This window comes from Homo sapiens, chromosome 2, assembly GCF_000001405.40.
Source record: "Homo sapiens chromosome 2, GRCh38.p14 Primary Assembly".
Taxonomy (NCBI): domain Eukaryota; kingdom Metazoa; phylum Chordata; class Mammalia; order Primates; family Hominidae; genus Homo; species Homo sapiens.
Genome location: NC_000002.12, coordinates 214966739 through 214979105, shown reverse-complemented (window position 1 = coordinate 214979105; position 12367 = coordinate 214966739). Strand labels below are relative to the sequence as shown.

The following is a 12367-nucleotide window of genomic DNA, read 5'->3' as shown; positions in this document are numbered from 1 at the left end:
TTAGGGCCTGGAGCACTATAGTGTAAAGAGAGGAGAGTGTTTTAATTCCTACTTTTCTCTCTTAGAGTCCAAATTTAAATGCAAATGCAGTATGTGACACCATGGCCGTGACAGCAATGATCCAATCACATCTCCCCGAAGCCTACCTCAAGGAGGATATTGGGGGAGAGCTTGTTTATGTACTTCCTCCATTCAGCACCAAAGTCTCAGGGGCCTACCTGTCACTCCTACGGGCACTCGACAATGGCATGGGTGACCTCAACATCGGGTGCTACGGCATTTCAGATACCACCGTGGAGGAGGTATACCTCAATATTTCTTTTTTTTCTTCAAGCTGATATAACTTGCTGTTCCCTTTGAAGAAATATGTGCCATTTTTCTAAAAAAATTTTTAAAATAGTTCACAAAATTAGAAAAGCTTAACATTTTTTCAGTACTATTCTTATGTAAGACTGAGAATAAAATGTTGCCCCAGCTAGACAGCACGTATCTTTTACATACAGAAATATTCACTTGAAGTCAGACGGGAAAAATTTGTCTCAGTAAATGTGATAAAAGTTCAAAATCAAAGGTAAGCTTAGAAATGAGAAAAGACATGCACTTTTCATGTTAATGAAGTGATCTGGCTTCTCTTTCTAGGTCTTTCTGAACTTGACCAAAGAGTCACAAAAAAATAGTGCTATGAGTCTTGAGCACTTAACACAAAAGAAAATTGGGAATTCCAATGCCAATGGCATCTCAACTCCTGACGATTTATCTGTGAGCAGCAGCAATTTCACAGACAGAGATGGTATGAATCTAATGTGGATATTTTGTTTAATTCCAATGGATGACATAAATGAGAAAAATCACAGACAGACTTTGATTTTTAAAAATTCAACTCTAAAGTTTCATTCTAAATTCAAAAAACACTAAGGAAATTTAAGCCTCCTTTTTTAAGATATAAAATATTCATTAAACCAAATCGAATTCTCTATTTCAAAAGTACTTTGAAGAATGTGAAAGAACTCTCTTGATAGCATGGTGATGAGTATTCCACCTCCCCACCAGAAATTGTTTTCAAGAAGTAACTTCTACAATTTCAGTTCATGTTCAGCAAGGTAAAATTCTTCTTGTAATCGGGGCTAACAATGGACAAGATTACCAAGTAAGGTAGTTCACTCCTTGTTATTAGACATGTTGAAGTAGAGACAATAGTCATAAAAAAAAGGAAAAAAAAAAAAAAGGAAAAAAAAGGAGCTGCCGCTCTTTATGGTACCCTCAATGGAAAACATGTCTAACCTACGTGACTCTGAGTCTTTCAGGTGCTGAGAAACTGCTTTTGGGGAGAGTTTCTGAGTTAATTAATTTGGACTTGATGGCTAAGAGTCTGTAATAGTAGATTTCCTCCCCCAATCCTTAACATAGGATATGCTTAAAAAATCATGTTGCTTGACACGACTTTGTGGGATTGGGCTCTTTTGAAAATAACTTTTATTGTCTCTTCTCTTTCTGACAGTTAATTTATACCTCTGGAAACACCATTTACTTAAGGAAGCATAGAGTAAAATGATATATAAATCATGGAGTAGTCATTTCAACAGTTTTTGCTTACAGAAAAAAATCTCTAGGAACAGAACTTTTAATTAAACATTTGCCTGGCTCTCAAAGTCAGGAAAGATAATCTCTGATGTTTGTATAATTCTGGAACTGGAGGCTAATTTGTCCTCTGTCATAGTTCTCATTTCTTTTCTTTTGGGGAATATAATTGTGGCCTCCATGGCATTGAGGACTTTTATTAGAAAGTGGTCATCTGCTGCAGGAAGCAAAGGCTAAGTATGTGCCTCTGCATGTGTCTTATAATTTGAAACTATTCTTCAGTCCAAATGTTCCCTTCATTGACATTATCTTTTAGAAAGCACATTTATTTCATTTGATACACCTGTAAGTCATCCACATATAATTTCTCAAGAAACAGAAAAGCATACTAATTAACTGAAAATATTCAGCTCCTTCTACAGTTCCCTTTTGCAGAGATATGAGTTTGCATTTAAACTTGTTCACTCTGTTTAATTGGAATTCATTTTAAATTAAGCAGCTTTGTATTTTTTCTTATCAGCTAAATGAAGATCATGATTTTTGTGCTGCATAATTTCTGATGGAAAACTTAAAATATACGCAGAGTTGATGAATACCATCATTTTATCACCTATGAAGGTGTGCGTGGTGGCAGGCTTTCGGAGAGAATGCTATATTTGAACCTGTTTTTAGAGGGAGTGCTGAAATTATTAGCCACAGAGCTCTATTGAGGAAGCAATGGTTTATGGCCTCTATAGCTGCTCTGCCATGGAATTTTTCTCAGCACTAGAAAAGCATTTCAAAGTATGGGGATGGTAGATATTTTTTCTAATGAGTTCTTTTTTTTTAATAACTCTAGTGGCAAAAATGGAGTTTTGAAAGGCCATATAATCATTCCAAATTTCTAAAGAGAATGTAATAAATATGTGGTTGAACCAGAATTGTACTCTGGAAGAGAGGATTTCCCTTTTCCTACTCTTAGTGTGAATTAATTGGACCTCATGTTAGAATCAGAGCCAATTAGACTTACAGTCACTAAGTTACTCACAATAGGAACAAATTGTTAGATTAGGTTGGTGTTTGAGTTTGTATTTGTCTCACATGTATTTAGTCTCTTCATAGAAACTATCTCTTGAGTATTAGTAATATATACTGGGTCTGCATTGAGACTTTAGGGTTTGAGGTCAATATTCATTTATGAAATTCTAGGTATCTAACTTTGACATGTAAAATTACTATGCCTGTGATTAATACTATTTTGTGTATAGTGAATTAGAATTTTCAAATCACTTTACACACAGTTCTATATGAGATGGATATTATAGTTCTCAGTTTTCCCAATGGAAGGTCCAAGGCTAAGGCTGAGAAATAACATTGCTGAACCTCAAATCCAAATCTTTAAAAGCTTTTCCCACCACAGTGTATTATACCATTTATATATAGTTTCTGAAGTTATTTTATTGCTTATCAAGATTTCCCAGAACCATATCCAATCTCTTTTTCTTAATCAGACAAAATCCTGACAAGAGGAGAGAGGCTGGATGGCTTTGGACTGTTGCTGAAGAAGATCATGGCTATACTCATCAAGAGGTTCCACCACACCCGCAGGAACTGGAAAGGTCTCATTGCTCAGGTTATCCTCCCCATCGTCTTTGTTACCACTGCCATGGGCCTTGGCACACTGAGAAATTCCAGCAACAGTTATCCAGAGATTCAGATCTCCCCCTCTCTTTATGGTACCTCCGAACAGACAGCCTTCTATGCGTAAGTTTCTTTCTGTTAACTAAAAGAATGTTTCCAAAATGCTTCCAGGAGTGTGGTTGTACCTGAATGAAGGCCATGAGATCTGGAGAATAAAGTACTTAGAAGCCATGGTACCTGATTCTGCTAAAGGAATGAACAGTTTGATTGATTGCAATATGTTACTTCTATTGCCAACAAATAGTTTTTTTCAGAGTTTTTGCATTCATCTAAAACTAAAGTTATAGTAGATATTTATTTATAATGACGACTTTAATTAAGAAATCCAGGCTAGGTATGGCTTCCCAATCTGTTGTAATATACAGCAAATAACTTTTTATTGGTCTCACAAATATTAAATAGCAATGTCAGAATCCTGTGTAATATAATGTTACATATACAATAGGTGATCACTGATGCATGTGACAATTAGGTGAATAAGAAGGCAGCCAAACAGAGACATGTGCATTTTCCTGTGATACCTTTCTTTCTTTTCCTGAGACTGTGTCTTTTTTCAGATTTCTTAGATTAAGAAAACAGTCCTAGGCTGAGTGCCGTGGCTCACGCCTGTAATCCTAGAACCTTGGGAGGCCAAGGTGGGCTGATTACTTGAGCTCCAGAGTTTGAGACCATCCTGCCAACGTGGCAAAACCCCGTCTCTACTACAAATACAAAAATTAGCCAGGCCTGGTGGCAATCACCTGCAATATCAGCAATTCGGGTGTCTGAGGTATAAGCATCGCTTGAACCCGGGAGGCTGAGGTTGCATTGAGCCGTGTGATTGCACTACTGCACTCCAGCCTGGGCAACACGGCAAGACTCTGTCTCAAAAAAGAAAAAGAAAACCCTTCTATATACAGCACATTTCATTTCTTCAAGCATGATTTTAATATGGGAGACTAGTAGAAAAATCATGAATTTGTTTCTGTCCTTTCATATTGCAGTAATTATCACCCGAGCACGGAAGCACTTGTCTCAGCAATGTGGGACTTCCCTGGAATTGACAACATGTGTCTGAACACCAGTGATCTGTAAGTGGTTCTTGCTCTTCTATTTTTTGTTTTCAGCATTCCAGTTTGAGTGTGTGCATGTGTATGTGGGTGTGTGTGTCTGTTATTTGCCTGGAAGAAAGCTGTACCCTGATAGAAATCCCTGTTTAACAGATTTTGTCTATCTCCTTTAGTTCATTTCTTAGTTATCCTATGCTATACCAATCAATATTAGATGTCTTATGATTTGTACAACTCTCTTGTATACATATTTTCATTTAATTATCACAATCTTGTGGATTATTAATCCCATTTTACAGATAAAGAACTGAGGCCCACAGAGACCAAGATACTTATCTAGCTGAGACTCCAGTTCTCATTTGCACTATATAGTGTTGCTTATTTGAACATCTAAGATAGTATTAATACACAACTCATGTAAACATGACCTTGGTGTATTATTATGCTAAAGTATCCCTTCCTCTCTGCAAAGAGTATAAAGGAGAGAAGAAACCCCATCCTGACACAGTAAGACAATTCAATAAGCACTGGTCTCAATACTATGTAATCAATAAATGCTCTCCCTTGTCCCCCATCACAAAACGTCAAATCATTTGGAAATGGTGGAGCAATGTACACTGAAGTTATGAAAAATCAGTAAATTGTTCTGTGACTACACACATGAACTTAATACCAAATACTTGTTTACATGCTCATATGTAAACATGAGAACACATATACATACACACCTCACAGCAATATCATTTTAACTTGCAGACAGTGTTTAAACAAAGACAGTCTGGAAAAATGGAACACCAGTGGAGAACCCATCACTAATTTTGGTGTTTGCTCCTGCTCAGAAAATGTCCAGGTAAGATGGAATTCAGTTTCAGTGAAATGGGAAAAATACGGGAATAAATATCGAAAGCTCGAAAGATCTCTCTAGGTTACCAAAGAATCAGTATAAGTTCATTTTATGGAAGCTAGTAGCTCAGAAATATGGATCTGGGCAGCTCAAAAAATACTGACTTTGAACATCAGCTTACTGTTTTAAATCCATCTCAGGACCAATTTCCAAAGGTAGGTAATTCTATGATGGTCTTTGTGGAAACCAACCGAAAATGAATTTTTGGTCTCAATTTAGAACTAAGTAGAAGGCTCTATGCTTCACAGGAAAAAATGAGACCATAACTGTCATATTTGAAATATAGCAAGACTGCCACTGTAGTGGTCAGCTGGGAAGTCAATAATGTATAAGTCTAGAACAGAACTCCATGTGTCTCTAAGCAACACCTCCAGGCTTCAGGAAAAAAATCATTTCCTGAAAAAACAAAAAAATTATTCATCACTTACTCTGTCTGTATTCTATTGATGCGGACCTTAGTTTTCTAAGCCTATCAGTTCACCACACTTGTACGAGAACCACATTCACTAGAGAAGTTCAAGATTGTTGAAGAAAAAAGGTCACTATTAGTTTCTAATAGTTACTATATTGCCAACTAAATTTCTTGCAATATTTTCTTCAGAGTGACATATGGTTGTACACTGAAGTGTCTTGGTATAATAGTTTATAATGAAAATATCTTCAGTGAATGCAACCCATTTTGGTGTTCTCATGCAAAATAGATACTAACAATAAGAGTTGGGACCCAAAAAGAATCTTTTGGAATCCCTGCATATTTAAAAATTAGTCTTGGCCAGGTGTGATGGCTCAAGCCTGTAATCCCAGCACATTGGGAGGCTGAGGCTGGTGGATTGCTTGAGCTCAGGAGTTCAAGACCAGCCTTGGCAACATGGTGAAACCCCATCTCTACCAAAAATATAAAAAGTAAAATAAAATTTGCTGGGCATGGTGACACGCGTCTGTGGTCCCAGCTACTCAGGAGGCTGAGGTGAGAGGATAGCTTGAGCCTTGGGAGTTCAAGGCTGTACCACTGCACTCCAGCCTGGGTGGAAAAAAAAATTAGTCTTAACCCAGTATTAAAAGTTTTAAAATCCTTTATCTAATTTAGCTAACTTCAGAAGTTCTTTATGTATTTCTTTAGTTCACAGGAAAAGTTACCTAACTTAATATTTAAAATTGACATTGGTATAGTTTTTATTAATCTGAAAAATCTAGGCCAGGTGCAGTGGCTCATGCCTGTAATCCCAGTACTTTGGGAGGTGGGAGGATTGCTTGAGCCCAGGAGTTCGAGACCAGCTTGGGCAACACAGTGAGACCTCATCTCTACAAAAAATTTAAAAATTAGCTGGGTGTAGTGGTGTGCACGTGTAGTCCCAGCTACTTGGTGGGGCTGAAGTGGGACGATGGCTTGAGCCCACGGGGTCAAGGCTGCAGTGCTGTGATTGCACCATAGCACTCCAGCCTGGGTGACAGAGAGAGACCCTGTCTCAAAATAAATAAATTAAAATAAATTAAAAATCCAGTAGATCTTCAATTTTTTCCAACCAATTTTGTCATTTAATTAACATCCCTAAATCTATTTCCAACTATTTAATAACAATGAGGTCACTTTGCATAATTGATGCTCTGTATACCAGACATACAATATGGATAAAGTACTAAGTTTTTTGAGAGAGAAAAAAAATTATACTGTATATACATCAAAAGATGAAGAGAGTAAAAAGGAAATCCACAGAGTAGAGAATGATATTCACAATATACAACAAAGGACTCATATCCAGAATAAACGTGTGTATAAAGAACTGCAAATCAATGAGAAAAAGATAAATAACACAGCAGAAAAATTAGCAACAAACATGAGACACTGTACAAAGAGCATATCCAAATGGCCAATAAATATATAAAAAGGTAGTCATCAGGGACATACAAATTTAAGGCACAAAGCAATACCACTCCACACTCACCAGAATGGCTAAAATGAAGAAGAGGAAAAATTCTAAGTGTTAACAAAAATATGCAGCAACCAGAACTCTCATATTCTGCTCTGGGAATTTAATTTTGTGCAAACAGTTTTTAAAACTACTTGGCAATATATCCCAATGGTAAAAATTTGCATATCTGTGGGACCTGCAATTCCACTCTTACTATATACCCATCAGAAATGTGAATAATGCTCACTAACAGAATAGGTAATGTCAAATACAATATATTTCCACAGTAGTATATAAACAAAATGAGAATGATTGATCGACCACCATACATAACATATGGAAGATTCTCATAATCATAATAATGAGTGAAAAGAACCAGACACAAGAAAACACATTTATACTATTCCATTAATATAAAATATAAAAATAGGCAAAACTACGCTGTGTCTGTTACTTTGGGAGTGATAGTAATTTGAAGGGAGTGTGATGAGGGGGCTTCTGAGGTATGGGTCCTGTTCTGTATCTTGTCTTGGTTGTTGGTGACTGGTTACACAGGTGTGTCAGTTTGTCAAAATTCATCAGGCAGTACAGATAATACATGTGCATTTCTCTATGTATAGTATAATTTAAAAATTACACGAATACATAAGAGTATTCTCTTTTAATTATTTGTGAAAGCAGTGTCACTCTGGAATGTGATCTTCATGTTGATATAACTTGATATAAGATAAAATCCAGCACCGATTTTCTTTAGAGCAAGCTGGAACTTTATGTTCTTGAGATAGACAGGTGGCACTATAAAAACGTGCTAGACTTTTCCCATACTAAACTTCATTGCAATGAAGCATGAGAAGCTACACTGAAAATTAAGTTGTCAGGAAGCAAAGAAAGTTACAGGCATAAATATAAATGGTTAAACTAAGCTCTAAACAAATATACTTGGTAATATAAGTACCCACAAGGGAAAGTGACCAGGGTACACAGGAACTCTCCACTAGCTTTGTGACTTTTCTGTAAATCTAAAATAATCCCAAACTAAAAGTTTATGTATATCAAACTAATATATATACACACATATATACATATATAATATTAACTAATATACATATAACTAAGCTGAGTCTTAGGTTGCATACTAAAACTAATGTATCATAAACTTTTCATCCACTGCTATCAATCCTTGAAAAGTGTTATATTTTCAATTTGTGGCAAATATTTTTTTCCTTCCTTGAGAATTATTGAGGAAATTTTATCATCTTAATGTTTAACATTATTGTCCAAACATATTAAGCCTCAGCACAGTGAAGGAAATATCACACATTTGTTAACTTGTGTTCTTCCAGGCCTTTAAGTGAGTCCTAAACATAGGGATTTGCTCTACATGAATAATAACTATTTGTTCTAATTTCTTGGTGTAGGTGAGATGACTTCTTTTTCAAAGCTCTTTAGAGTCAAAGGACAGTCTTATCACACTCTACCAGTTGCAGTAATAGACAAATCATGAGACTGAAGCTCCTTGACATTGTCTATTTAACTTGCACAGCATTGGCCAGAAAAAAATTCATTTTTAACTTTATTTTCCAGGAATGTCCTAAATTTAACTATTCCCCACCGCACAGAAGAACTTACTCATCCCAGGTAATTTATAACCTCACTGGGCAACGAGTGGAAAATTATCTTATATCAACTGCAAATGAGTTTGTCCAAAAAAGGTAAAATAATCTGTTTATAACATATTTAATTGCTTGCTAATTTTAATGGTAGCTGCCTTCTAAAGAGACAATAGATACAAATTTCTATTGTTTACATTTTACATGGTTAAATTCTCAGTTTTATTTAAACAGCCTTATATATTGAAATGTAAATAATGACTCTAAATTAAGATTTATTTGAGCAAATGGAAAACCAATGGTTATATTAGGCCTCAAAAATGTACTGTTAAATTTGTACATATTTTTTTTTTCCTTGAAGCCAAAGGGAATTTATTGACTGACTTATACCAACTTGGAGAGGTTTAAGGCATGACTTTTGATGACAATTGGCCTCAGTTCCAATATGAATATCTCAAAACTTAAGAGTGTGATATCTGCATATGGACAAAATGTGTTGTTCATGTGTAGCAAGGAAATGTGCTTGTACTTAAGCCACCCAAGCATTTGTCATGGACACAAAGTTGGTAGACCTTCAATTGCTGCCATTTTCTTCTTTCCTCCATCTCTTCCCTCCTTTGTTTCTCAATATATATCCATGATTAATATTCATTGTAAAAAATAATTAGAAACTACAGATAAGCAAAAAGAAGAAAAAGAATATTATTTCTCCACACAGATATAAGCACTATTGATATTTTGGTGTATATCCTTCCAGAAGTTTGTCACAGATATACATGTAAATATTTTTAACAAAATGGGTTTTATTATAAACCAACTGTCTTAAAATCTGCCTTTGAAAAAAGTGAATTACATACTATGATGTTATTTGCATGTCAAAAATATATAGCTCTATAGCACTACATTTAGGATGACAGTCACAAGATTATTCTAGTGTGACTGCACCATTATTTATTTAGTCTGTCCTTAATTTGGTAGGCAGTTAAATTAACCTATTCTTAAAATTACTACTTGGATTTTAAAAATCAACTTTTCGTTTTTATACCATGAATTGACAAGCAGTTGACATGAATTGACAAGACCCAACTTGCCCTCAAATATTCAGGGAGAAAAAATGTATAATGTCTGGGGACAATATAGGGGAAAATTTGTTATATAGAAGAAATTGAGCCATTTGAAAAAAGATATGAACTGATATTATATCACTTCCATATTAATTACCTAAAAGGAATATTTGAGTACTAAAATATTAAGATATTTGAGATGGTAGATGGGTCAGTTAAGTTGGAGAAATTGATTACATTATATGCCACTCATTTTCAGGATGACTACTAAACATATGCAATTGTTTAGGACTTATTGCCTCTAGTTATAATGTACACTTGAGACTGAAATATGATAAAAAGAATTGATAGAAATGTAAAATATTTGTCAGGAAGTATTCATTTTATACTGTAAATGTGTTCCTAACAGAAACAAAAAGTTGAGCTCCTCGTTAAGTATTTTAGATCTATTTAAGAAGATTTTCTCCACTAAACCAAAGATATATTTTTATTACTCTCTGTAGATATGGAGGTTGGAGTTTTGGGCTGCCTTTGACAAAAGACCTTCGTTTTGATATAACAGGAGTCCCTGCCAATAGAACACTTGCCAAGGTAAATTTTGATCTTTTTTCTGGAATGTTATACAAATGAGAAGGTGAAATTGATATGTTTAATCATTTTCATGAAGTGAAAACAAAATATGGGTACAATCGATTTGGCATTGTGCATAACCCAGGGCACAGTGGTTCCAATTCTGTGTATGTACCCTAGGGAAGCATGTACACATTAGCATCAGGACACACGTACAAATGTGTATACATAGTAGCATTTCTCATAATAGCCAAAAACGCAACCCAAAATGCCCACATGCAGAATATAGAAATAAACTGTTTCATATTCATTCAATAAAACTTTCAGCAATGGAAATGAAAGAACTCAGCTCCATGTAACAAGCAAGTTAAATCTCCCAAACATTATTAATAAGGAAAGAAAAGACAAAAAGGAATACATTGACTATGATTACATTTACTGTAAACTTTGAGAGTTTATAGGCAAAACTCAACCGTTTGTTTAGGGGAAAGGGAGGGTATTGTGATTTGGAAGGACACAGAGGGTCAGGGAAAAGGCATTCTGGAGGCTGGCAATTCTTATTTCTCAACCCGTGTATAGTTTAAGGGATGTACTTCCTTCAGAATTTTTTTGGTAACACTATACTTTATTACCTGCACTTTTCTTGTGTATACGTCAAAACTATTTAGAAATGAAAATGTATATGTTTAGCCTTGCTTCTTAAAGAACCTGGAAACTTTAACCAAATTTAATGGAGATAAATAATTCTGCTCACTTATTTTTCCTTTTAGATTATACCTAAAATGAGGTAGAGTCACGGGATCAGATGCATATTCTTACGTATGTGATCAATGGTAGTCATAGGGATTTAAAATTGTCTACACATATTTCTCATCTGGTAGTAAGAGACATACACAGTCTTTGGGAAAGTGGGGGAACTAATGTCCATTTCATGATGATTATGTGCCAACCACGAGTATCATCTTTTACACAAACTACCTAATTTTCTGCTCACAGCATCCCTGTGTGATAAATATTCCTGAGTCTATTTTAGCTGATTTTTACAGTAAATCATATAGAAAGTAATTAGTGGTGCTGGGGATTTCAGTGCTTTCCTTTTCTTTCTTCCTCTCTTCTCTCTCTCCACACACACAGTAAATATTCTTGCACAAACATGTGAATTTCTAATATAAAATCATTTCTCTCAAAATCAACTTTGCTATTTTGAATTAGTAATTGGGTTTCTTGAATTGAGGTTCACCAGTATATTAAATCTCTCTGTTTATGACATAGAAGGTAAAATCGCGCCCCATTTGGTAGGTTATAATTAGGAATCAAAAATTAGTGGAGGAATGTCAAGGCTTTCAATCTTGTGCTAAGGACACCATGCGTGTATATGTATTTTATTTATTTCTCCAGCTTGGTCTATTCCATTAGTTTTTATTACCATTATTGGCAGCCAGGATACCTTAGTTCTAGTCTCAGAATCCCATGGATCTGCCACAGGGATGTAGATAATGATTTCTCCAGTTTATTTCAAGCTTTGCCTAGAAGAGATCCTGAATAACTAATAATTTAGTGCTATCCACAGAACAACTCTCTTCCCAATTTCTGCCTGTTTCTAAATTGGAAATTTATAGGCCTATGGTCAGTACTCTAGAGAACAGTGCATAATCTTCCAAGATAAAATAAATTATTGGAAAATTGATGCTCTTATTTTAAATATAAATAAGATAGCTGTCAGATGTTAAGACAGCCTAATTTATTTGAATGCAATATTGATCTTGCCTTCTTTTGGAATTTAATAGGTATGGTATGATCCAGAAGGCTATCACTCCCTTCCAGCTTACCTCAACAGCCTGAATAATTTCCTTCTGCGAGTTAACATGTCAAAATACGATGCTGCCCGACATGGTAAAGTTACTAACACAAAAGTGTCCTGTATTGCAACTTCTGTTACTCTTTGTATAAAAATGCACTTTATATCCTGTTTCTTCACAGGTGGCAGGTATTTTATGGTATC

At 35.2% G+C, this 12367-nt stretch overlaps 1 protein-coding gene across 4 annotated transcripts in view; it reads left to right on the top strand.

Annotated features, from left to right (window-relative positions):
* ABCA12 (ATP binding cassette subfamily A member 12) overlaps window positions 1–12367 on the top strand; it is a 207085-nt gene that overhangs the window by 159521 nt on the left and 35197 nt on the right. For all 4 annotated transcript variants that reach the window (NR_103740.2, NM_173076.3, XM_011510951.3 and 1 more), the window contains 8 exons: window positions 66–302; window positions 640–790; window positions 3069–3321; window positions 4242–4328; window positions 5064–5157; window positions 8706–8833; window positions 10299–10386; window positions 12153–12258. Coding sequence is in view for 3 of the 4 variants with exons in the window: in NM_173076.3 (NP_775099.2) it covers window positions 66–302; window positions 640–790; window positions 3069–3321; window positions 4242–4328; window positions 5064–5157; window positions 8706–8833; window positions 10299–10386; window positions 12153–12258 (1144 nt within the window). In the remaining variant the exon portion in view is untranslated. The remainder of the gene's footprint in view (window positions 1–65; window positions 303–639; window positions 791–3068; window positions 3322–4241; window positions 4329–5063; window positions 5158–8705; window positions 8834–10298; window positions 10387–12152; window positions 12259–12367) is intronic.